Below are 26,760 nucleotides of genomic sequence, written 5' to 3' on the forward strand. Positions count from 1 at the left end.
TAAAAAAATGGAAGTTTAAAATATCCACCAGAGAATAAATTGAATTTTTATAAGATTTTCAATGTTAAACCTGTTAAATTGACTGACTCAAGTTAAAAAGGAAACCCTTTCTTAATTTTTTTGTTCTAATTCCATCTTTTAAAAGTAAAATTTTAAAGAATAACTTTATTGTTACTATTCATATTATCAGTATGGTAGACAGAACTTCTTTGAGCTAAGGTAAAAAGGCAAATTCAAGTATCAACTATGACTTTTATCAGCTAGGATATTGGTCCAGCAGAGTTTCTATGTCATCCTTCAAAGGAAAAATAATAGTAATACAATTTAATGACACTGAATATTCATTACTGAGAATTTACAATGGTCCAGGCCTTATGCTACATGGCAGGTACATAAAACAATGAACTCCAAAGTTTGCAGCAATCTAGTAGGGGGAAATAAACATAATTTTTAAAAAGACAACATAAAATAGAAAAAATATGGACCAAAATACAAATGTAACAGAGTTGTTACGAAGAAATTGGCATTCCGTAATTAGTGTCAGGGCATTGAAAAGGAACTTAGCTAAGGCAGGAGAATCAGCCTCTGCAAAGGTAAGGTAATGTGGAAGAGTATGGCAAGTTTTGGAAACCATGGGTATCATGGATCTTTTCCATGATAGACAAAGGCCACATCATGGAAACTCTCACTCATAAGCTAAGAAACTCAAACTTATTTTACCCAGGCAGGAGGGACGTTTACAGGGTTTCAGCAGTGTGGTGACCTGAGCATGCATATGCTTTTGTTAGGGAAAAAGGACCATAGGAGAGCCAGGGCAACATCATTTTAAAATCAACATCATCTTAAAACTAGCAAAGCATATTCCTTGATAGTCATGAGCAATGGTCATGAGATGTTTACAACTACTGAAGCAGTTTAGTAATGCTTTCCCACAAGGACAAATTCCTACGACAGTGGAATGTTCAGATGTCCTGATATCACATAACAACACATGCTTTTAAGATAGTAATAGTCATGTCTGATGTACTTAGGCACTATAATACCAAATATAACTTTCTTTAAATCAACAAAGTACTAAATTTTGTCATGTTGTCAGCTCACCCACAAGTAGAGCTAATTTAGCTTAGCTTTTACACAGATGAGGCCCCTATGTAAGAAGAGTTTAAAACAAAGATGACGTGTTCCTCCTCTTGCTTTCTGAGAACACCCTACTCTGTAGCTGAGTAGCTTTCAATAAACTATCTTTCTCACCGAACTCTGTGACTTGCCTTGCATTCCTTCCTGTGCAAGATCAAAGAACCCTATCTCAGGGTCTGGATCAAGACCCCTTTGTCCAGCAACACTGAACAAGTTATACTGCCCAGGACAGGAAAAAGGTGATCATCTACTCTACTTCTCCATAAATTTGTTTGGAGGATCAGTTTCTTTTTAGAACATTCTGTCATACAAACACAAGGTATTTGTAAGGTGCTCCTCTCAGAGTAAGGCTTTTACCAGGTTTTACGACATAAACTGTACATTTAACTTTTTTTTTTAATTTTCTGTCCTAAATGGTGGATTCCCTCTAGATTTCCTGTCACGAAAAGGAATTCTAGACAAATGCCACAAAGTCATACAGCAAGATTTAGGGGTAGACCTCGTTTGGAAATTTTACAAAACCCAAGGATAAGCAAGCGTAGGGATGATACAGTTACACAATCTTTAATTCCCTTATTGTCCCCCAGAGGTGAGTGCTGCTACCCAGATGCTACAGCGCCTACAGTGTGGACACCTATTTCCTCCTCCCAGCTTTTCCCCCTTTTTAAAGGTCAGCTGGGGGAAAGTAGACTTGCCAATGAGGAGATTAGAGGCTGTCAAAGCAGAAGAGTCTGGATCAGTGTGCCAGCTCTTTGTAGGCATTATCTGCAATATAGGCTGCCCAGCATCCAGAGACCTGAAGGCCTGTGGAATATTGCAAGGCCTTGTCATAGGGATAGAGTCATTAGTTTGATGAAAGCCTGAACCTGGGGGCATATCCTGTCTCTGAGGAAAATTGGACCTTACAGTCCAAGCTATCTTGTCCAGAAAACCCTAGTAAGTTCCCAGGGTCATTTTTAGATTATCCTGCTTATTTCTCTGTAGCTCTATATTGATGATTTAGATGCTTTAGAAAGTTTATGCATTTCAGAGATGCTCATTGTAATGTGCTGTAGTCCCTATAGTACCAATCGCATGCAATAATATCTCCAACTTTTTTTTTTTTTTTTTCCTTTTCAAGGCTTCCCAGGCTGGGAAACACTAAATTAAGCATTAAATTGTAGTCTGATTTTTAAAATTGCTAAATTTTATGAAACTACTTTGCATCATTATTTAATAAAATACCACGGTGTGTGGCTCAGATAATTAAATCACAGAAAAATGTCCAGAGAGACAGCAGACAGCCAAGGGTCCCAGGTGAAACCCTGCCTTCAAGCCTAAAACAGTCTGAAGGCTGAAAAACCAGACTGCTGGTCGCAAATGAAACCCGCCCTTTCCCAATTGATTCTTTCTGAATAATGCCCACCTGTACACTAGGAGGAGGGGGTAGAGTTCAGGAAGTTTGCACCGTTTTGCGGGGGAGGGGAGTGGAGAGGAGCCTGGCCCCTCCTGTTCCTGTGCTGTGAACTGGGATTCAACCTGTGAGGCAGGAAACCTAACAGGACTCTCTCTTGCTTTGCTGAGAGTTATTTTTTCTTTTCCCTTTTCACGCAGTAAATTCCATTTTCCTCACCTTTCTATGTGTCTGTGAGCCTAACCTTTCCTGGTCATGTGACAAAAGCCCTGTTTTAGCTGAACTAAGGACAAAGTTCTGCAATACTTTTGGCATCCAGACATGGGGCTTGAAGAAGGATGGTAACATATAAACTAAAACATCTTTTTTTCTTTGACTTCTAAGCTGTTTTTGTCCTCACCCTTTTTCTGAGGGTGGAGAAAATTATGCCTCACCAGACCACATTACTCCTGGGGGTCAGAATTGTTGGCCATTTCATTCTCTTTTCAGGATGGACTGGTGAACTGGTGGTTCCCCAGCAACCCCTCTTAAGTTTAGGAACCCATTGGCATAAGAATTAGAGGTTCTTCCTCCAGGCATCTTTCCAACCCTGCACTTTAACTATTTTTTCCTTTTCTCTACCTGTCAGAAGTTAACTTTTATGTGAGAGGCTTTTTTTTTTCTTTTTAGAAAACATTTTACAGGGCAGGACCCCAGCTATCACTGTTTATATTCTCTGTAAAATTTTAATTATGAAAAAGGATTTGTGGGGTTGGTCTTAAACTGAAGCAAATCCAGTGTGCTTTGCCTAACTTTCTGTATGTTCAGTAGCAAACTTTGCTGCAGGCCTCCATCTTGTTTTACCATGATCTGAAACCACATGGCGATGTTTTGTTCTAGCCTCCACCATTTTACAATGGCACCTAGGTTCAATTCCGGCTTAGAGAATGAGTACTTTAGGTTGATATCTGTATAGCTATTGCCATTTGCTGATTCTCTTCACCTCTATGAACAACTTCTAGCCTTTTTCTTAAATCTTCTTTTCTCTGGGTTATCTTGAAAGGTTCTAAATTTTGTAAGAACTGCTCACACCGCTTGGAAATACCTCATATACTCACAGTTAAATCATAACCTTAATTGAGGCTTGTTGGTTTAACCTGTGAGGTTACCATTAGTAAAGTTTAAAAGACAAAAATATTGGGTTCCTGGTTCAGTTAAAGTCGGGTAGTAAGAGAGTTAAAAGGATTTTCTTAGAGAGTGTTCAGCTTAATTGCAAGTAAATATTCAAGTTATAGGTATATTTAAAAGGCCTTTATGTTTTTCTCTTCTGGGATCTTGTTTTGTTGGAACAAGTTTTTTCCAGTTGACTGATTCTTTTTCAGTTGACTGAATTCTTTTTCTCCACCTTGTCTTGCCACTCTTAATGTATGCATGAGAGGATAATAATCCAATTAGGAGATTAGCAAATGAAAAATCTTATAGCCACTGGGTTTTCTTCTGCCAGTCTATGTAGTTACATATGGGTTGTGTGTGATGTCTATAAAAGAGAGCTGTAATTAATTGGCATAAAGAAAAATAAGTGCTTGGACCAAATATTTTTTAAGGGAAGATAAAAGCTGCGGTGCCTTATAGTTCATGTGACTTTAATCTTTGAAAAATAAAAACAGCCTTAAAAATTATTAGTAAAATGCAGAGGTCATCAAAATGTAAATAGGTGAACTAAATTATGCAGGTTAGGTACTAGGTTTGCTAAATGTTTTGGGGTTATTAACTACTTTTTTGGTTTTTGAGAACTGTTTGACTTCCTGCCTAACAACTGGTAAGACCTGGGAACATATGGAACTAATCACACCCTTAATTATGCTTAAAGGAGTCAAACATTCAAACCGTGGCTGCACCTAGAACACAATTAAAACAACTTACCAGGCTTTACATTAAAGTTAAAAATTGCTAGGAGTTGCCGTTATAACATGTAATAGAAACTGCTGGAAATATATTTACATACAAGGTGTGTAAAAACAGTAAAATTTGTTTTTAATAAAAGATTATTAAAAGGCAAAAAAATAAATTCTTGCCTAGGGTTAAATAATTGTTTTAAATTAGATAAGATAAAGCTATAAATTCAAACAACTGGTGGAAAGATTGTAAAAATTAATATTGCAAAATAAATTCCACGTATGAGCATATTGACTAAATTCAGTAGGGGTTTTCTGTACATTGAGCATTGAAATAAAAGCACAACAAGGTATTCTTAAGGTGCTAATCTGCTTTTTAGCAAAATTTGTAAGGGGTTATAAAAGGTTTTTGCTTTTTAAAATTTCTGAGTCATCATTTTGGCAAAATAAATAACTTATGGTAATCTGAAATTCTATTTAATAACATGAAGTGTTTTAAACCTCTAACACATCTATCAGACTTCCCAAAATCAAACTTCAGTTTCAAAATTGTCTTTTCTGATGCCAAGCTTTGGCTGCTACAGAGGGCCCCTGTAGTATTCACAAGAGAGGTAAACAGGATTATTTGACATGTTTAGTTACATGGACTTGCCAAAGTGGTGTTCAATATTCTTTAGGTTATATTTTGGTGAATAATATTAATATATGTTCTAAAACTGTAGGAGATTTCTAGAATTTTAATGTCTAAAGTATATGGTATCAATCATAATTAAGGTTGTTATGCTAAGTTATTGTGAACCACAGAGATAACCAAACTTATTTGTCAATTGTGTTTCTAACTGTAACTGCCTTGGACATTTTGTTGTTCACAGACAATTGTTTCCTTGTTTTGATCCTTTTCAAAAGATGGTTTATAATCAGCCATAGAACTCTGACACGTGCTCTCAAATACAGGTTTCTGATAACTTTGGAGATTGGGACATTGGAATAAAGGAAAAATGTACAGGACTCATGAAGAGCTTAAATGTTCACGAATATCAAGCTAAACAAGAGTTAACTAAATGGACTAAACTCACAGAAAAATGAAGCCATCTTTTTTACTTTTGTTTGGAATATTGCTGATTCTTGTTTTGTTTTTTAGAGTCAATAAAATTTATTTTGAACTATTTATGGCCTTTAATTATTGAGTAATGTATACTCCTGTGAACAAAATTTGAAGCATATTTGTCTCTGCCTGGCTTTTCCAGAATTTGGAAACTAGTTGTGAGTATTCTTAACTTATAGCAATATAGTTGTTTGCATCAGTGAAATAAGATCCATTTTGTTTTGCAACAGGGCACAATTGGAGAAACTGGTTGTTTTATCAGGGCTTTGACTAGAAGGGAGTGCCTCCCTTTAAGGAGTCAATTTCGACTTGCAGAGCTGATAAAAAGTCTTTGAGAAAACTGGCATCATACTCTTGTCTATGCGGTCTTGTACAGGGTTCCTGACCTAGGGTTAGTAAAGAGTGTCACTTTCTGACAGGCACAGGAGCTCCAAGTTTATTTTGGGACCTTAATAGGAGAGGATTATGCAACTCACAGGTATTTGAGGCTACAAACCCATGGCTGGGCTTGGATTTAAATGGTCTTATCTGAGATTCCTTGTGGAACAGAGTTTCATCCAAGCCAATCTAAAAGGCTTATGTATAAATAATTATTCCTGCTGCACTTTACACAAATAATCAGGTCAATTATAAGACTAAAATTTATTTTGCAAACATTCAGTCCTATTATGATTTTTTTAACAGAATGAGGACTGGAGAGAGAGAAATTATGTTTCAAAATGTATTATACATTTGTCATTTGATTCTAGACTCATTAGCTGTTTTTAAGCTTTTGCCCACATTAGACTAACCCTGCTTTTTCCTGTGAACCAACCAGCAATCTCTGACTGCAGCTCAGAAGGAAAAAAAGGGATGGGTGATATAAAACTCTGGATCAATTATTCTGGTTCTGAGCAATTGTCCTGCAAATCCTGCTGGGTAATGGGAATAAATAGGATGCCCATCACCTGGAGGATGCCTTTTTGCAAAAGTAAGACCAAGGGAGCCAACGAAAGCCAAGCCCCATGCACCAAAATCTTAGCAAGTATAACTATAGCCACCAGTTATCTGGGCATGTCACAAGACATCTTTTTCTCTCCCCTGTTGGAGGAGGACTCAATTCCACAGCTTCACCTTAGCGTTTGGTTTATGATAAGGAGTTCTTGCAATCCCTGAAACACATTTTTTTGTCTCAAACTTAATTCCAAGCTTTGCATCCAAAAAACTGGATCTGAGAGATTCAGAGGTAGATGATAATGAGAGTTAAAAGGCATAGTGCAGGTGAGCATAACTGATTCCTGTCAATTAAGCCAAGTTTCCCATTTCATGGATAAAGATCATGCTAGTAACCATGGCATAAATGAGGTCCAGGGAATTCAAAGGTACTGAGCAGGGGAGATAGGGCATATGTGGGTAAGAGCAGATATTCTTACCACCTAAACCCCCTGTTAACATCATTTTGACACTACTGGGTGGCACCTTGTCACAGTTATTAGGACTCAGAGATACAAGGACGGAATAAAGAATGAGAGATGCCTTGATTTCTCTCCCTCATGTACCCCGGGTATTTGCTAGGAAAAGAAGGGAACCAGGGAGGCCTGCTCCTCTCTTTCTAGATGAGTAGCCATTTGTCTTCAGTATGTACACCTTTTGAATTCATCCTGCACCCCGGGACTCCTTTGAAAAAAAATGCCTTTTTCCCCCTTTTTTCTCCTCTGTCCTCCTTCATGGATAGGTAATTATGTCTTTATACTACAGCACACTCCCCTAGGATGCATCCTCCAAACTGGAAAGAGTTAATTTGCCAAACCTTAGACTGGTTGGCTTAGGACTGGGCTCAAGGAAAGGGAAACCAGAAGACTGGCATGCCTAAAGAACAGTAAAAGTTTTTTTTTTTTTTTCCAACCACACTTTTGGGCTTCCTCTACCCATGCAAATTAGTAAAAAGTCTTGGGATTTTTGAGCTGTCATTAACCTCCCCCACCACCTTGTTTTGTTTTAAGACTTGTTTTCTAATAACCCAGTTTGTCTCTTCTTGCCTTCTGGCCATCAATCTCCAAATGGTCATGCAACCGGAGCCTGGTTCAATTGTTCCTTTTGCTGGGAACCCTTAGATAGGCCTCTAAGGGAGATCTGACTGCTCTTTTCCCAAAACAGTGCTACCTGTCAGCAGGAAGCAGTTAAGATCAGTCTTCATCCTTTTCCTTATCTTTATTCTAATGGCAATCAGGTGTACTTTTCAGAGGGGGGAATGATAGAGACAGGAGACAGCCAAGGGTCCCTGGCGAAACCCTGCCTTCAAGCCTAAAACACCCTGAAGGCTGAAAAGCTGGATTTCTGGTCCCAGATAATGCCTGCCCTTTCCTGACTGATTCTTTCTGAATAATGCCCACCTGTGCACTGGACAGTGCGGAGCTTGGGAAGTTCATGCTGTTTGCAGTGGGGAGAAGCCTAGCCTCTCCTGTTCCTGTGTGATGACCTGGGCTTCAGTCTGTGAGGCTGGAAATCTGCTAGCAGACCTCTCTCTCACTTTGCTGAAAGTTATTTTTTCTATTTCCTTTACGCCCAGTAACTTCTATTTTCCTCATGCTTCTAGGTGTCTGTTAGCCTAATCTTTCCTAGCTGTGTGACAAGAGCCCGGTTTTTGCTGAACTAAGGAGAAAGTTCTGCAACAATAATATAAAAACTTCCACTTCAGAAGGAGATGAAGCCTTTGGAAAAGTTTCATGGGGAAGGATTTGAGGTATTTTGAAAGAAATGGAATATTCTGATACACAAAGACAAGGATGAGTACAATCTAAATGTGTAGGCAGGAGAGGAAAACAAAAATAATAGCACAGCCACACAGCTGGGAGTGAGCATGAAATCAGTGGATAGGCTTTGTAGGGTTGACATGGGTCAATGATAAGGTTCTTGGTCAATCTCCATACTAAGTAGAAAAAGAAATCTTCAAGAGGTAAAATGGACTTTATTTTAAATATAGATACACATATATATATATATACATACATATATGTTTGTGTATATTAAAGTATAAAATAGTGCTGTCACTCTATTGCTTGCAAGCCCTTTTTTATTAGTGAATTCAAGTACAAAATCCTTAAGAAGGCTTTTAATAATTTAACATTATAAGTTCATGAAGAGCTACAAAATTATTTTGCTGAGGACTTTATTTGCAAAGAACTCATGTTTTTTTGTTGCTCTTAATAACAGAGCAATGGAGAATCTAGATTTTTTTCATCATCTAGTGGTATATAATACTAATAATATATTCAGTATATATCCCTAAAGTAGCATTTCAGAGAAGTTCATCAAAGTTTTAATGCTGAGCATATAAAAACATCTGTCTAGTGATAACAAAGGAAGAGTCGAGAACACAGAGAAGTGGGACACATAGAGAAATGGTGGATCACCGCTTCTCAAATTTCCATTGTGAAGGGACAAATGAGATGAGCATAAACAGTTAACATGTTTAAAGATTCAATTCTGCCCACACCTGTTCCATCAAGGCCTACAAATCACATGTGGAGGCCTGGATGCCAACTCAGGCTTCTCAGGGGAATTGGATGCATCAGGAATTCCAGGGGGTTGGAGAGAAAAACACTGAGTTATTTATTTAGCAAGGTATTATTTGACAATTTTAATAGCTTCAAATGGATGATAATTCCCAAATCTCACAGGATCAGAAAAGTGCTAATGAGAATAGAAGTCTATCCACTTTCCTATGCCATCTCCTTTTTAAGAAGCTACTCACACTGTCTTTTATTTTTATCTCCATTTATATTCCTGAGTTAAATATGGTATGCAAAATATACAAGATGGATTTGATAGTGAATGCTGAGAACTAGAGAAAGCTACGATATTGCTGACTTCTAGCTCATCTTGTCCTGCTTAGTGGTTATTTAATTATTTCATTTTAAAGGTCTGCAGTGAGATTTGAGAATGAGGTAGGAAAGTTATCAAAATGGGTATTTACAACATAGGCAATGAGAAAAAGATTGACATAGTCAAACAACCTGAGTTTAACTCCTATAACCATCATTTCCAATGAAGATTTTGCATTGTTTTTTAAAGTATTCTGCAAATGTGCTGAATATTCTGTTTGCCTAGTTCTTATATCTGCTCTACTCGATCTTACTTTGCTATATGTTCCAGACATATAAACTACATCAACAGGCTCCTTGCCACACAACTTCAATTTGGATCTGGGCCATTAAAATCACAAGCATAAATTTGGAAGTCAGGAAAAGAGCAGGTTCAGAAAAAGAGGCTAGATTTCCTTCCTTCCAGGTCTTGGGTTGGCACTGTCAAGGCTTTCCCTTGCAAAGATTGGAAGCCCAGCTTTGACTGTGCACATATTTGAGAAGTACATGGATAACTCCCTTGCCAGGGGAAAATAAGAAAGTGTTAATACTTAGCATAAAGTGAGATATCACAGATTATCATGGATTATCACAGGTAGTGGTTTGATATGATGTACAAGTGGAAGGGCAGACATTGGTAGAGCAAGTAGCTGTGATTCTTAGTCACTATTGCAACAGCAGTCACTAAAACAAATTATTGCAATGGATTGCTGCTTTTGATGGATCTAGAAATTATACAGAGAAAAAAATGACAAACTAATAACCTGAATGCCTAATTCAGAACATGGGTAGAATAGCAAATATATATATATATGCTAATATATATATACATATGCTAATATATGTATGCTAATATATATATATGCGCTAAACCTAGCAAATATATATATATATATATATATATATATATATATATATATATATATATATATATGCTAGGTTTGAAGGAGTGGTTTATTTTCTATAGCCCAAGGATAGACATAGTTGAGGCTGAAGTTTAGGGTCTGATTGTAAAGGTATAATTTCAGCTACAATCACCTGAAGAACAATGCCAAGTCTTTTATAATAAGGTAAAGACACTAGAGGGGAAGAAATGGAGCCTGAAGTGTGAGACAGGGATAGATGAATATACCCAAGGAAAGTTAAGAACGCTGTATTCCAAAATTCTTTCTTACTGTGAGTGAAGTCTCTTTCCTGCTGCTCTAAGCTGAGAGAACATGTTTTCTACCAGATGAAGGCCTTTCAATGATTTCACAACTGCCTCACAAAGAGATGGTTTTTTCCTTAGGACCTCATTGCTCCCAGGCTTATAGTGAGAATTGGGAAGAGTTAAATATAGGCAGATGCAGAGGTACAAGACTTGGCCCAGAAGCAGATAGCTTATGAGCTAAAAGAATTAAAGAAGTAGATACTGACTTACCTTCACTGCTCACAACACTTCTGCTAATGTCAGAATTTATTGACTTATGTGATGGTTAATACTGAGTGTCAACTTGATTGGACTGAAGAATACAAAGTATTGATCCTGGGTGTGTCTGTGAGGGTGTTGCCAGAAAAAGATCAACATCTGAGTCATTGGGCTGGGGAAGGCAGATCCACCCTTAATCTGGTAGGCACAATCTAATCAGCTGCCAGTGAATATAAAGCAGACAGAAAAATGTGAAAAGGAGAGACCGGTCTAGCCTCCCAGCCTACATCTTTCTCTCGTGATGGATGCTTCCCGCCCTTGAACATCAGACTCCAAGTTCTTCAGTCTGGGGACTCAGACTGGCTCTTCTTGCTCCTCAGCTTTCAGACAGCCTATTGTGGGACCTTGTGATTATGGAAGTTAATACTAAATAAACTCCCATCTGTCCCCCTAGAGAACCCTGACTAATACAATTTACAACATTCTTTTTTATTTCCATGGAAAAGTTTTATACCAATACAAAATTGCCCCAAATAGAGAATTCATTTATGGCAAATAAAGTGTTTAGAGGGTTCCCACCTGTGAAATAAAGACTTACATGTGTGCCATCACCCAAAAGAAGTTACCAGATAGAGTGGTGGAATAACAATATGAATGTTCACTTAAAGAACCAGATGGGAGAGAACACCCTGTACAGTTGGGGCACTATCCTATAGAAAAGGGTGGATTTCTTAAACTAGCAGCCTCCGTTATAGGTAGCAGTAGATCCCATATAAGAGATTCATTTTTTGAAACTTCCCCTTCCTGAAATTCAGGGCTTGGTTCATTTGGAGGGTGTACAAGGAAGGAATTGTTTCCACCAGGAATCATACTTATTGTATTAATTTGAAATTTGATGATTTCTCTTGGTAATTTGTGAGTAGGATGTTCCTGCCACTGAACCAACAGGCAGAGAGAGGGTCACCAGCCATGGAAATTAACTTGAATGACTTTCTTAGGACTCTTTTTCTTAGTGAAGAACTGCAGTGACCCAATAAAGAAAGAGAAGCAAGGACTCAGATCATATAGCAATAAAATATTCGGTCTCCCCAGCTTGTCCAACTATGATACTAGCAAACAGAACATAAAGAGAACATGGCATGGGTGTGGAAGAGTGAAGCTGTTCTTGTTAAAGCATTTTGACCACCTACATAAGTGGGACCTATAGCAACAGTGAATTGTGTTAATTAGTTCCTCCATCCATTTTTGCTCATTGACTACGTCTTAGGTGTGATTTTTTTACTGAATTGACTTCACCTCATGATGACATTGTAGCTGATAAGACTTGCATACTCCCTGAAGTGAGATTTTTAATCTGGGCAAAGGATAAGTGTGGCTATGGAGGGACAGGAGTAAAAGACTTTGAACTGCTGCTCCATATCTGCTCTCCACCTCCTGTGCCAAGTCTGTGCCCTGGGATGCAGACCTTTCCTGATGAATCAATATGATATCTTGCCCTCTAGCTTCTTGTTGGATTGGGTTTGTGGAAGTCACCAGCAGAAGATCAGAGAGCTGGAAGAGTGTTAGGATATTTATTTCACCATCTTTTTTCATGATAAGCCTACATGATAAGCTGAATGTATCTACCAAAAACCTTAGCTCCTATGAGTAGCACTACACACAGCTACAACTACTTTCTGAATGCTTGTAACTGCTCTCATTTCTTAATCATTCTGAAATAGTCAAGTAAGTGCTCCCTTCCAGCACCAGAGAGCTTCACCATCTTTGGTTAGTTTTCCCTAATCCTGTTCACTTCTTTGGTAATTTGCCTCTCCATTCAAATTTCTCAACTATCCTCCCTTGAATGCACCATGTTTTTTTTACTGGAACAGTTAATCACATTATTTTTACTTGTAAAATACATTTTTATCAGGAAGAATTTGCCTTCAGCTAATATCCCTAATGTTAACAGTTTCTGCACAGTTCTTTTATACCAATATAGTTAATTGGAACAATTTTAGTTAGGTCATAATGAGCTAATTATCAAGACCGGTAGGCAAACTTAACCTCTGTGACAAAGACAGTTTACAACTTTAAGTGAATAGTTTCCTTCAGCAAACATTCATACAAATGCAGTTTTCTACACCAAATATTTTCCAGTTTAAGGTTACAAGTCAGTAAGCCTTAAAACAGGTAAAACAATCACTTAATAGTAAAGAATAGCTCTCTTATCCGTTACTCAAACAGGCTTAGAAACACAACTTTATGATAATAAAGTAGACAATAGTATATATTTAACTTTATGGTAATAGGCATGTAAATATTTGCTAACGTACTATCTCTCTGGCAAGATTCAATGCTTAGCTAAGTGCTTGTCTTTTCAATGCTCCTAAGCCTACATACTCATATTTTCTTTCACTTGGCTGACACCTGTAACTTCTGTTTCATTCTCATTTATCCCCAAGATATAAATTTTTCAAAATATAGCTTATAACTTTCTGTTTTGACCATCACCATGTACCATACACAAAATATTTACCAGTTTATCTCCAATATATTTTTCTACAAAATGAGAGTGATAACATCTATTTTATAAGATTTAGAAAAGGAATATTTAGTTAAGATATGCAAAAACACTTTGGAAAGTAGTATGCAAAAATGTACAAAAGAACATGTTTTGGGGGAACAAACCAGGATTAGAATCCTAACCTTCCTACATATTAATCTATATCTATACATATCTACCTAATAAATTAATTTCTCTTCAGCTCATTTCTCATTTGCAAAAAAATAGGATGACTACAGCTTCCTAACAGGATTAAATAGTATAACAGCTAAATGAGATTATGAATAAAAGTATTTAGTGTAGCTCTTTGTACATAATAGGTGCTCAAGTAATAAGTCCCTCTTCAATGATAACCCAGGATAATACCATTACCCTCATCTATGTTATTCTCTTTCAGTGTCAAATAACAATTGCACTGGACAAAGTTAGACAAGAAAGACTTATTCAAGACTATTACAACATTACAATAGAGGAGAGAGATTAAATATAACTCCACTGAAACAAGAGGCAGAAGGCTTTTTAAGCTCTGGAGTGAGCTAGTGGAAAAGTGCTGAAGGATATTGGGTGTGGTGAGGTTGATCAATAGGATATGTGGAGTATATGGAATTATCTCTGAGTTTGTGAATATTTCATTCTGTAATTAAACCATCTGTGTTTGCTAATTTGTGTCCATGGAAGTTATGTTCATACCTTCCCACAGAGACTAGGCAATAGAAGCACATTTGCCTTCATGATTACGTTTCAACAAGATGACTCCCAGGTCCTTAAGAAAGACACCCTTGGGTTCTAAAATTAACAAGAGGCTGGAAGATTTATGTACATTACAAAAGAGACAGAGAAAAAAATTCAAATTACAAGTTTTCTAAAGTAGTTCTAACAAAAGGGAAATCAGGGGACTAGTGTCAGGAAGAAATTTCTCTGAAGTTTAGGCAAGCTGAAGGGAAATTAAAACTGTCTTGGTCAGCGGTACTAAGGTTGCACATTCGAGGCAATATTATTTTTCTGAATTTGGACTTATGTTAATTGAAAACAGTTTTATTGTTAGGTAAATGTTGGTGAAATCTTCACAGAGAAAATTAGGGCCAAGCATGGCTTTATGAATATGATTTTACCAGACAGAAAGGGTAGAGCCATTTATTGGAAAGGAAATGTATGAAAAGTCAGGAGCATAAAGCCACCGGATATATGAATGTGAGCAGATTGTTTTTTACCTTGCAGATTTTCTCATCTATAAAACATGTTTAGTAAATCCACCTCACAGATGTTGTTTGTGAATATACCACACATATTCACAGAGGCCCTAGAATGTGTGAGATAGACAATTCTTTTTATTTCCACCCATTCATCCTTCCTCCCTTTCCTATTGGTCATGAAGCTTCATCTTTTATGTTTCTTTCTCCGGTTTCTTTTATCTCATTTTATTTATTTATTTTTTTTTTACTCTGTGGAAAAAATTACTCATTGCTAGAGAACAGAGCTAATTTCATCATATAATTCATGGCGATTACTGCCAATGTGTCTGTGTTTAAACCAACCAATGAAATATTTCACTTTTTTTTATTGCCACTGACAATATAACCTAGAACGAAAGCAAAACAAAACATAACACCTAGTTCAGACCTAGTTACAAGAGAGGTGCAGATCCTTTCAGCTCAGGAGGTAGAATTTCAGTGGCTAGGCCTTGGCTGCTCTGAGTCACACAACCTAGAAATAGTTTCTGCCACCCTCCTAGTTGGGTGTGAAAATGAATGACCTCCCCTCACCCTTGTTTGTTGTTTTCTAGGAGCCCAGAGGTAAACACATCCTGCTGAAATAACGTGAACATTGTCTTTTCCGTCACCCAAGTTTTATTCCCCAATTATTACTCATCTTTCCTTGTTACTTCTTTGTAAATATAGAAGTTGTCACCCTCCATGTAGTTGTTCTAGGCCATTTTATTTTTTCCTTGAATCTCCTGCTTTTTCTTTCTTCCCACAAGACATATTTAGACTCCTTTGGTACACTTTTGGACTTCTCACTTTCTCCTTCTTTCCTAAGGCAATGAATACCTTGGGGCTTAATTCTTTAAAATGGAAAGAAAACTCTCAAGATACTCTCATAATACTTTTTCTTACCACCTCCTTTGTACAGGAAATTTCTCTTTACAAGACTCTCAAACTCTCTAGCAAATTTAATTGTTTCTAGGTTGTAGAGCCTTCATTAATCTGCCTCATTGCCATGACATGCAGATATTCCATAATATGCCCACATTCCTGTTTATGCTTCACTAATAAAAGCTTTGCTCATGGCTACATTTACTCCCTCCTACTCTCCTTCCTGGACCTTCTAGATGGCTCATTCTTCACTTCTTTTTATTGTTGTCTCTTTTCACATGCTTGAAGCCAATTCCACTCTCTCTTATACATTCATGTGCCTAACTCACGTGAGATGGGTGTAACTCTGAACATTACCTTATGCCAACAAACAAGTGAAACAATATATAGAAGAGCAAATCTATTTGCCAGTTTTATCCAGCTCATTTTTCAAAAGAAGAGAGGAATCTGTGTAATGGTTATGCCTTACTGAGATGAAAATGCCTTAAAGGAGAAAGGAGACTGTTTTTTTGCTGTATCACATTTAATATGGTGCTGAGGACAAAGTGGGTGTTATACAGAAAATAGTATTGTTCATAGGCATTGTGAATTCTTTTGAATTATAACTTTTAAAATTCAGAGAGAATTTTTTCACTTCCATTTTAAAGCATTCAGCCTATTATAAAATTATACTGCCCACAGGTTTATGAATAAGTTGTTTTCCCTGTCAAATTGCAGGTTATCAGAAGTATGTGTCAATTACAAGTGTAAATCATTTCCACCTGTGACATCAATTTTGCTTATTTGCTAGTTTTCATAACCCAGCAATAGGATACAAAATTATATCTATAGTTAATACTAATCCTGGTTAAGCCCATGAAAAGCAGTCCCTGAAACTGAATTCTAGATCTCTCCCCTACTTACAGACACATAGCACTGCCTTTTTCCAATGTAGAAACTTCACATATATTATTTCATTTATTCTCAAAATATTTCTGAGGCATAGAAATATACTAAATGCTGCTTTTACTGAATAATTTAGAGCAAGGCGGTAGCCCTGATAAATCTCCTTTTAAGACTCTCCCTAGGATAGCCCAACTCCATTCTTAACTCGTTCCATGTGTTACCCCAAATTACAAAATTACAATTACAATTTCATTAAAAAAATTAAGGGCAAACACTTAAATATTTCTCTTCAGACATATATATTCACTGCTACATTAAGCTTCCAAAAGACAGAAATATTTTTCTCATTACTGAGTCTCCCTTCTGACCAAAATATATGTGCAATAAAATATTGTGGAACTCAACCAAAAATGAGGTATGATCCCACAGCAGCGTCTCAAATTAACCTGTCTATCTAATAAATCTTGGGGCTCCAAAATCACTAAGCTAAAGGGAAAAGTCAAGCTGGTAACTGCTTAGGGCAAACCTGCCTCCCGTTCTATTCAAAGTCATTCCTCTTCTCAGTGTGGTAAATGCATATCGGATTGCCTCCTTTGGAAAGGCTAATCAGAAACTCAGAAGAGAGCAACCATTTTTCTCTTATACACCTATGATCTGGAAGCCCCTTCCCTACTTTGAGTTGTCCCACCTTTGCTTCCAGTTGCCCCACCTTTAAGGACTGAACCAACATTCATCCTATATATGCTGATTGATGTCTTAGGTCTCCCGAAAATGTATAAAACCAAGCTGTGCTCCAACCACCTTGGGCACATGTCATCAGAACCTCCTGAGGCTGTGTCACAGGCATGCTTCCTTAACTCTGGCAAAATAAACATCCTAAATTGAAACCTGTCTCAGATTTTGGGAGTTCACTCTCTGTCTCTCTCTCTCTCTCTCTAATCTGTCTATAGTATTAGGAATATATATTGAGTTTTCCATTTAGTTTCTGAAAAATTTATTCTATTAATTTTTCCAATATGAAAACATTTTGTTTCTACTTGAAGGAGAACTAGGAAATACCTCAGTTATGACTATTTGAATTGTAAATAACAGAAAGAAGCTGTTACCCGAAAAGGGTCCAGATCCAGACCCCAAGAAAAAGTTCTTGGATCTACTGCAAGAAGTAATTCTTGAGCTAGTCTGTAGAATAAACTAAAAGCAAATTTATTAAGAAAGTAAAGGAAGAAAGCATGGCTATTTTATGGGCAGGGCAGCCCCGAGGGCTGCTGGTTGCCCATTTTTATGGTTATTTCTTGATTATATGCTAAACAAGGGGTGGATTATTCATGCCTCTCCTTTTAGACATATAGGGTAAATTCCTGACATGGCCATGACATTTTAAACAGTCACGGTGCTGGTGGGAGCCTAGCAGTAGGACGATCAGGGGTTACTGTGGTCGCCATCTGGCTTCTTTACTGCACACTGTTTTATCAGCAAGGTCTTTACGACCTGTATCTTGTGCCAACCTCCTAACTCATCCTGTGACTTAGAATGTCTAACCATTTGCGGAGGCAGCCCAGTAGGTCTCACCCTTATTTTACCCAGCCCCTATTCAACATGGAGTTGCACTGGTTGAAACGCCTCTGACCAAACTGAAGTGAGCTTAAGCAAAATAAGTAAATGCATTTGATGAAGCTTTTGCCATTTCATGGAAATCAAAAGCAGTTGATCCTTATAACTGTGGCCATGATTGGAACTAATAAGTAGAAAGCCATCAGAAACCTAAACAGCACACCTTCTTCACTCTCTCATCCTTTTATCTTTCCATTGTCTGATTCATTCTTCTTTCCTTGCATGCTTGTTCTCTGTGATTCTTCATATACAAATGAAAAACCTTGGTTTCCTGAGTTTAGTTTCTTTATTTTCTTGATCTAACCAGATTAAATACAAATTTTCTTAGTCTTTATACCAAATTTCAAATTGAAAAATAATTGGTCTAGCTAGGAGTAGACATCCTTAACTGGTTCAATCAACTGTAGGCATGATGGTGGGAAAAACGATGGAATAGAATCATGACAGTTGGGGTGTATAATTCTTACAGAAAGAGATTTATGGAAAACTTAACAGGTATTTCATTGTTTTCTAAATCACAAAGCCAGTTGATTACATAGTTAATATGAGGCAAAAAGATATGTAGTGAAATGTTACTCAGATGAAGGACCAGAAACAAAGATTCTTTGTATGTTTTTCTCACCGAAAAAAAATCACACCTGGAGTCCTTCTAAGGAGTATTCTTCTAAAAGAGGCTGACAAATAAGGAAGTGCATCTATTGACAAGTATCATTTTCTAATAATTTTCTTTAAATGCTTAAAGAAACATATGATTTTAAATTGTGCTTTATTAATGCACCAGGGTAAAATGTATAAACATTGTAATTCAAGTCTTCCTATGAATTTGTTGAATGTATTGCTTAAAAAGGTAATTCCTCAAAATTTGAATTATAAATAGTGTATATTGATTAAAAAACCACCAAAATGTTAACCATAAAAAGTAAACATTATTTCATTTTCTATAGTTTTAAATTTCAAATAGTTTTGTTCTTCAAGACTAAGACACTTCCACAGATAAAAGATTTTCTCACTTTTTTTTTTTTTTTGAGATGGAGTCCCTCTCTGTTGCCCAGGGCAGAGTGCAGTGGCACAACCTCAGCTCACTGCAAACTGTGCCCCCAGGGGTCAAGCAATTCTCCTGCCTCAGCCTCCCAAGTAGCTGGGACTACAGTCGCCTGCCACCATGTCCAACTACTTTTGGTATTTTTAGTAGTGACAGGGTTTCACCATGTTGGCCAGGCTGGTCTCTAACTCCTGACCTCAAGTGATCTGCCCACCTTGGCCTTCCAAAGTGCTGGGATTACGGATGTGAGCCACCGAGCCTGGCCTTCTCACTCTTTACTCATGAAATAAACATAAGTCAAAGAAATCAATTTTTTCCCATAACCTGAAGTTTATTATTGGCTTGATAGCCATGGTTGCTATCAAGAAGAGAACATTAAAAAGAAAAGTAACCCCTGCAATCAAGAAGAAAAGTAACCCCTCTGTAAGTGAAAATTTGCATTATACAAGGTTTACGTATGGAAACAAAACTCTAAAAAGAAAAAGAAATGTGAATAAATGACACTAATTCATTAACATTATAGAGGTTCAATTGAAGACCTTTTAATAAAAGCTTACAGAATAGTCTTTCTCATTGTCAATCTAATAAGGTCTTCCACCATTGCTTTTCTTAATAAAGCTGTTAAAATGTTAAAAATATATAAATATAAACATATTGATAAGAAGACTAGGAAATATTTTCTAATTAGTTACCAGTGCTTGACTTTCTAATTTCTATAGAATGAGTCCAATCTTCCAGAAACTGAGGAAGAGACATTCCCATCTGACACCTATCTCTTGTCACAATTCCCAAGTGTTGCATACTCCACCTGTCCCAGGCATTATAATAGCTCCCTGGAAAACTGATACTTTATATTCTTCTACACATTCAAAAGAGTAGAGGAAAGCCAGTGTGTTTCTAAATCACAAAGCCAGTTGTTACTGTGCTTGTGTGTATGTGCTCACACACATATGAATGTTTGCTAGTTGGGAGATGTACAGGAGAGCTGAGGAAGAGAGACAAACAATGAAAAAATGTGCCTAATGCTGACCTAATGAAATGGTACTCTTCATGAGGTACAATTTTGCATTCCCTGCTGCCACAAGTGTTCTTCCAAAGACACCACTTTGCTTACTGATTGGTTTTCCTTTTCCATACATAAGAGAAATTGATCTCACATCAGTCCATTTTCATTTGACTTATACCCCTAAGTTCCTTCTCATCCTTCTTTTTCCATTTGTTCTTTATTTATTCCTCAAGATCTATCTTATCTTTGAAGGCATCCTTAATTTCTCCAAATAAAATAATTTTTTCTGCTGTTTACTTTCCTCAACAGATCTTTGCACCAACTAATTTTATAATTTGTATTGTTTTAAATTATTTGCATAACAAGGAAGTGAGAAGTCCCTTACATTATATAATATTTGCTTAATTCTATACCTTTAGCACAGTGTCAAAACATAGTTAATATCACCATATTAGTTCCCTATTACTGCATAACAGTATTGCCACACATTTAACAGTTTAAAACAATTCACATTTATTATCTCACAGTTTCTGTGGATCAGGAGCCCAGGCATAGCTTAGTTGGGTCTTCTCCAAGGTTACCATCATAGTGATAGAAAGGGCTGAGTTCTCATCTGAAGGTCTGAACGGGGAAAGATTTATTTCTAAGTTCATGTGGTTGTTGGCAGAATTTAATTCCTGAAAGGCTGTTAGATTGAGGGCCTCACTTTCTTTCTGCCTACTACCTGGAGGCTACTCTCAGTTTCTTGCCATGCGGAACTCCTCAACATTGTCACCTGCTTTAGCCAAGCCAGCAAGGGAGGGAATCTCTTTGCAAGACAGTTACTATTTCTTATATAATGTAACTGTATAAGTGACATCTCATTACTTTTGCCATGTCCCACTGGTTGGAAGCAAGTTACAGGTCCCACTCATGCTCAAAGGAAGGGGAATACACAAGAATATGAATACAAAAAGGTGAGTATAATTGAAGGCCCTTTTAGAGTCTGTTCATTACAAGCACATACGTTTTTCTTTTATTTATTTTATGTTTTGATGGAGTGAGAAGGCATAACACAGCTGGGTATTGACAGGATAGACAGGAGCAGCTCCAGCAGTTGGAGTGCCAGCTCGACTGTCTTTCTATTACACTGTTCCTTTGATTTTTCTTTCACACGACCATCCTTGTTGTTCTATGTATATGTTACTCTGTCTCACTCTCTTCCTCAGGTAGAAGACAAAATCTAAAAGACAATATTTACAAGTCAGTCCTGCAGAAAATTTTAAAGATAAAACAATAATTTACTAAATGCAGACTATAAAATCTTAGCTATAGTGTGTTTATAGCTCTTTAAAAACTCAAATATTTATTATATGAAAATATTAGAATATAAATGTATTTATATTGGGTATCCCTGTACTGTGGGGCTATGGGTGATTTTTTAGTGATGTTGCTGCTATTTTTGCATAATTTCTATTATATGTATGTATAATTGTTAAAATGAGAAAATAAAAGATGAAATTGATTTCAAAGTAAAAACAGTTTTTCATATTATATACCAGCTATTACCATTAGTCTGATGAAAATAAGGTAAAATTTAATCAAGATTTTTTCCTGGTAGCATCTTGTTTTGGATGTGGTGATGCAGAACATTGACTAAAAATTACTAGAATTTCTAATGCCTTTATTTTGAATATGAGTTTGAACATAGCCTATATTCATGGGGGCTATTATTCTAGGGTCATTTACACTGTAAGGATGCATATGTTCTTTTAAACCTCAGGGAAAAAGAAACAGAACACATAATTCAGGGCCATTGTTAACTGAGTTGAATTTTGAAAAAAATAAAGTTGCCCCAAATATCTTCTTATCATAAAAGAGGAAAATCTAAGGAGAGATTCAGTTCTTGAAAAGTTTCAACGTTTTTTACAAAAACACCTTGAATGCTACAATAATTATCTGAAGTAAAAGATTACATCTGGTAATAGAAATGTGGCACTGTGGCTCACGCCTGTAATCCCAGCACTGTGGGAGGCTGAGGCAGGTGGATCACGAGGTCAAGAGATTGAGACCATCATGTCCAACATGGTGAGACCCTGTCTTTACTAAAAATACAAAAAAATTAGCTGGGCATGGTGGCATATGCCTATAGTCCCAGCTACTTGGGAGGTTGAGGCAGGAGAATCACTTGAACCTGGGAGGTGGAAGTTGCAGTAAGCCGAGATCATGCCACTGCACTCCAGCCTGGCAACAGAGCAAGACTCCATCTCAAAAAAACAAACAAACAGAAAATGTCAATAAATCACGGGCACACTGTCATTTATTCTGTGGAAGCCTTTGGCCCTAGAACATATCTATAGAGTTTGTTGTTGCTTTAAGCAACAAGAAATGAAGCTGTGGTTGTTATCATACACTCCTAGAATGGTTGCAGGAAACCAATGCCTTGACAAAAGGTTACTGACGTGTCTTTTGTAGGTCTTGGAAAAGATCAGAAGTGAAGAATAAAATAGTGATGGTTTCCTAAAAAATATAGTAATATCCTGATATCACAGCTTAATTGACCTCAAATATCCTGAAAGTTTAAAAGCTTTGGTCTTTGATGGAAATCTTAATGTGAATTAATCGATATGTATTCTGCACCATTTTGGTACTGAAGGTTTGCATATCACAGGTTTTATTTAGCACTTTTTATTCATTGTGTTTTGTGCACTATTTTTAGCACTGAGCCAACGAACATTTCTCTAATTCAGTACATTGAATTTAGGCCAGAACAGTTGTACCATTTTTATGAACTAGAAAGAGGGCCTAGAAACTTGAGCTTGTCATGGGCTCAAGAAAGGTAAAAATAGGAAAAAAAATATACTCACGTTTTATTTGTATAAAATATATTTATATAACTATATATAGTATGTGTATGTGCATGTATACATGTATGTATGCACTTATATACATATGTGATTTAAAATGCTAAAGGAAAACCATAAAATTTAAATTAATGGATATTCCACTAAACATCTGCAAAATGTGTATCAACATTTTGTCAACTACACTAATTGGTTAGTATTCATGAATATTTAACTATACTTGAAAAGAATTCTATTCACTAGAATTGAAACATAACGAGGGAAGAGATTTATGTCTGCTCTGTTCTTTATTCTGCCCCAAGTTTCCTGAATAACACATGCACAGAGTAGAATCTCAATAAAATTTTTGAATGAACAAATGAATTTGTAGGAATAACTTTTCTTGTTGACATGTGTCCCTGCTTAGACACAGTGATTTTTGAGGAATCATAAGCAGTGGTACATTAACGGTGGGTACTTGCAGCCCAACAATTACCAGAGCAACACCTAAAAAAATGGTCTCAAAATATTTCCAGCAAAAACAAAAAACAAGCAAACAACAAACAGTAAATGAACATGATAATGCAACCTCTTATATTAGTGTACCTAAAGTTCAAGGTTTCCTCCCCAGGGTCCCTGTGTTGCTATGTTCCTCCTAGCAAGCTATTCAGCACTTTTATAGTAGTGTTCATTAGTACTGAAAGGAATATCTCTCCAGTCTTTCTCAAGATGCAGAGGAAACCAGCCTAGTATCTATTGTAGCCCAGTGAAAGATGATGCCTTATAGGTTTTTTTTTTGTATAATACACAATGTAGAATTATATATGATCAAACTAATGCTTCTTGGGTGCCTTCAATGTGTTCAGCATTATATAAGCACTACCTATTACACACATAGAGTAAAGCATGCCTCCTGTCTTCACAGTCCCTGCATTCTATTGGAGAAGATAAGAAAAGTATGTTCAAATATTTTTCTCCTGCAATTGCTTTGTCTTCTTTTGAAATACTACATAGAAAATCCTTTAAAAGATGTCCTGATAAATATGTAACTAATTATCATTACCTCATGCTATATTTAAAGATATAAAATTTAAAATATTGTAATTTGTGTCCATACTTTGGTGATTGTGTGAGCTTCTGTTGTAGCTGATTGAGCCTGGATTTGTGAGCAATTTACCTTCAGTGGGCATAGAAGAACCACAAATCAAACAGACAAAATTTCCTTCCTATCCTTTTCAGATCCCTATTAGAGAGAGAGTGGAAATAAAAATGACCACTGGGGCCGGGCACGGTGGCTCACGCCTGTAACCCCAGCACTTTGGTAGGCTGAGGCAGGCGGATCACAAGGTCAAGAGATAGAGACCATCCTGGCCAGTATGGTGAAACCCTGTCTGTACTAAAAATACAAAAATTAGCCAGCCATGGTGGCGTGTGCCTGTAGGCCCAGCTACTTGGGAGGCTGAGGCAGGAGAATCGCCTGAACCCAGGAAGAGGAGGTTGCAGTGAGCCGAGATTGCACCACCGCACTCCAGCCTGGCAACAGAGTGAGACTCCATCTCAACAACAACAACAACAACAACAACAACAAAAAAGCCCACTGGCAAAAATTAATGGAACCCTTGGGAAAGGCAATGGAAAATTTTCAGTGTGTCTTTAGGTAGCAGCCAATGAAAGCTATTGGGCTTCACAGTGGTTCTGTGTATTATTCCCCACAGAACTAAGGGAGCACAATTTATAAGTACAAGAAGATGTGGATTTAAAAAAATAAAGAAACGAACACTTCTGTAGCTAATAACATGTTAGACAAACTCCAAAAAAAAAATCTACTGTTTTGGGGGGTTTTTTGTGTGAATATGACACTTTCTTTCTGGTCATTATGGGTGTCCCCACTCCTTACTGCTTTACACAGATTCAATTCTGAAGTGCGTATTATATGCCTGGCTCTCAAAGCATTCTAGTGTTTACCAATTGGAAGACCTAAATAATATGAAAATTTGCTTGTAATCCTTGCTGACTGGTATCTATGGCTTGTTGAAAGAGCTCAGAAGGTTTTTGTTTGGTATCCTATGTATAAGATGAACTGTACGGTGTTGCCTACAGCATCAAAATCCCTCCCTTATCTCAGGAATTGTACTGCCAAAAGTAACTACCACTTACTATATTGTTAGGCCTATCATCCAGCTCTGTCTCAGTCCCAAGTAATTTTTTGTCACTTGTGAATTTGGAGCCCAAACTGGGAGGAGTCACAATGAGTGGAGCGGGTTTTCAGAAACAGTGGATGGAGAATACTACACAGCAATTAGGGCCATGTTTCTCAACCTGGTTGTACTTAGAATCACCTGACAAGTTTTTTTTTTTTTAAACTACAATTATTTGGTCTACCTCCTCAAAGATATTAATTTCACTTGTCCGATGACAAGTCAGACATTTGCATTTAACAAAACAAACAATCAAACAAACAACTTTAGTGATTCTAATGGGAAACCAGAAATGATAATCATTAGGTTTTAAAATAGGACTTGAAGCCAGGACATTTCCATAAAAGAATGCTTCAAGTGTGCTTCATTTTCGGATACATTTTTCTTAATTGAACAATGGAGAAAGGGACAAATATGTGGTTTTAACCTTCCTCCTATGTTGTAATTGACTTTTTCACCCCAGCGATGCATATTGAAACACCTGTGCAGGTTTGTGTTTTGAAGTTGGAGGCCCACAGCAGCATGTTCTGCATTCACAGACTTCAGGCACTTACATAGAGGATGTGGCTACTACAAAAAGAACTGTGTTCAGAAGTTCTAGAGAGTAACTCTCAAAGAGTAAAGGAAGGCCCAGGAAAAGCTACAATTGCTGCAGATTCATAAACATAATCCTAGAGAGAAAGGACTTGGTGGAAAATTTTGGAGTAATATTAGTTTAATTGCTTTGTTCCTAATAGATAGAGAAATATAATCCTTCTTGGTGGAACACATGTGTGATACTTATCAGAGCCATAATATTTTGGAAAAAAAAATTGTTCCAAAATAAATACTATATAGAAAGAGGAAGAATCCTTGTTCTGTGATCAAATTTCCTAATGCCTAATTAATATTTCCCACCAGACATCTTACTAGAAACTCAAATTTCATTTGTTCAATTATGAATGAGCTTTCTTTTCCCATATCTTCTCTTTCAAGCCTCAGCAACTGGAGATCCAATTTCTCATCTGTGAAAAAAGATGTTTGAACTAAATAGCTCTCAAAAGGCCCTTCCAGCTCTGAAGCTATAAGGTGCGGGGTAATTTTCAGTTTATTACGAAGAGCTTTACAATTATCTAGAACTTAATTCTTTCAAATCATTTACAATCATTATTTTTACAGTTAAAAATTGTATATTGTCCCTCTCTTTTTTCAATCTAATCAAACAAAGGAAATTCAGCATAGCTGCAAATTACCACAGACCAGAGAATGAGGAGTGGTAAGGCAAGCTCAGAGAGTGGGTTACCACTTCAGGCCATGCTTAGACCTCCAAACATTGCTGTCCTGCCTAATTCCACTAAGAATGGCAACAGCAGTCCATAGAACTTCCGTTCTAAGCATTCCATTCCACATTATACTTCCTACTATCTTTCTAAGAGCACTAGCTAAAGCAGTTTATCTGTTGAAGACTGTTTGCAGAGCTCTTAGTTTAGGAGAAGGTAATAGTCTCACAGAAGTACAGCTCCATGTAGTGTATCTCAGTGCACAGCAGACTGGCCTACTAAGGGCAAGCTAAATACAGGGAGAATGAAGAAATGGCCCAGTCCATGCTCAGCTGCTGGGAAGCTTTCCCCAAAACTCCCATCTCCTACTCTCTCTGTGATCACAGAGAACCCAAGGCTTTATTTGTATATTTGAACTTGAAATAAACCTTGAATACAGGTCTAATGGGAATACTGGGAGGAATTTTAGTGTTCTAATACGTTTGCTATCCAAACATCTCCTGGAACAGACATCAAAGTAAGAATCCATAGCTTTTATGT

At 36.9% G+C, this 26,760-nt stretch overlaps 2 long non-coding RNA genes across 3 annotated transcripts in view, besides 1 other annotated feature; one reads left to right on the forward strand and one right to left on the reverse strand.

Moving 5' to 3' along the window:
- LOC105377862 (uncharacterized) overlaps positions 1-5,572 on the forward strand; it is a 322,839-nt gene extending 317,267 nt beyond the window's left edge. The window contains exon 4 of the long non-coding RNA NR_187980.1: positions 5,359-5,572. This is a non-coding gene — a long non-coding RNA (uncharacterized LOC105377862). The remainder of the gene's footprint in view (positions 1-5,358) is intronic.
- Positions 1-26,760, reverse strand: part of LOC101928570 (uncharacterized) — a 248,816-nt gene that overhangs the window by 23,553 nt on the left and 198,503 nt on the right. The gene's annotated exons all lie outside the window — the stretch shown is intronic.
- Positions 23,734-23,903: an enhancer, noted in NCBI's record as "experimental_95009 CRE fragment used in MPRA reporter constructs". NCBI's record gives its function as "activates a minimal promoter by MPRAs in K562 erythroleukemia cells, with activity observed for the non-introgressed 6:77825752 variant allele {active_cell/tissue: K562}" and the evidence as "EXISTENCE:reporter gene assay evidence [ECO:0000049][PMID:34662402]".

The sequence above is a fragment of the Homo sapiens genome, chromosome 6 (genome assembly GCF_000001405.40).
Source record: "Homo sapiens chromosome 6, GRCh38.p14 Primary Assembly".
Classification (NCBI taxonomy): domain Eukaryota; kingdom Metazoa; phylum Chordata; class Mammalia; order Primates; family Hominidae; genus Homo; species Homo sapiens.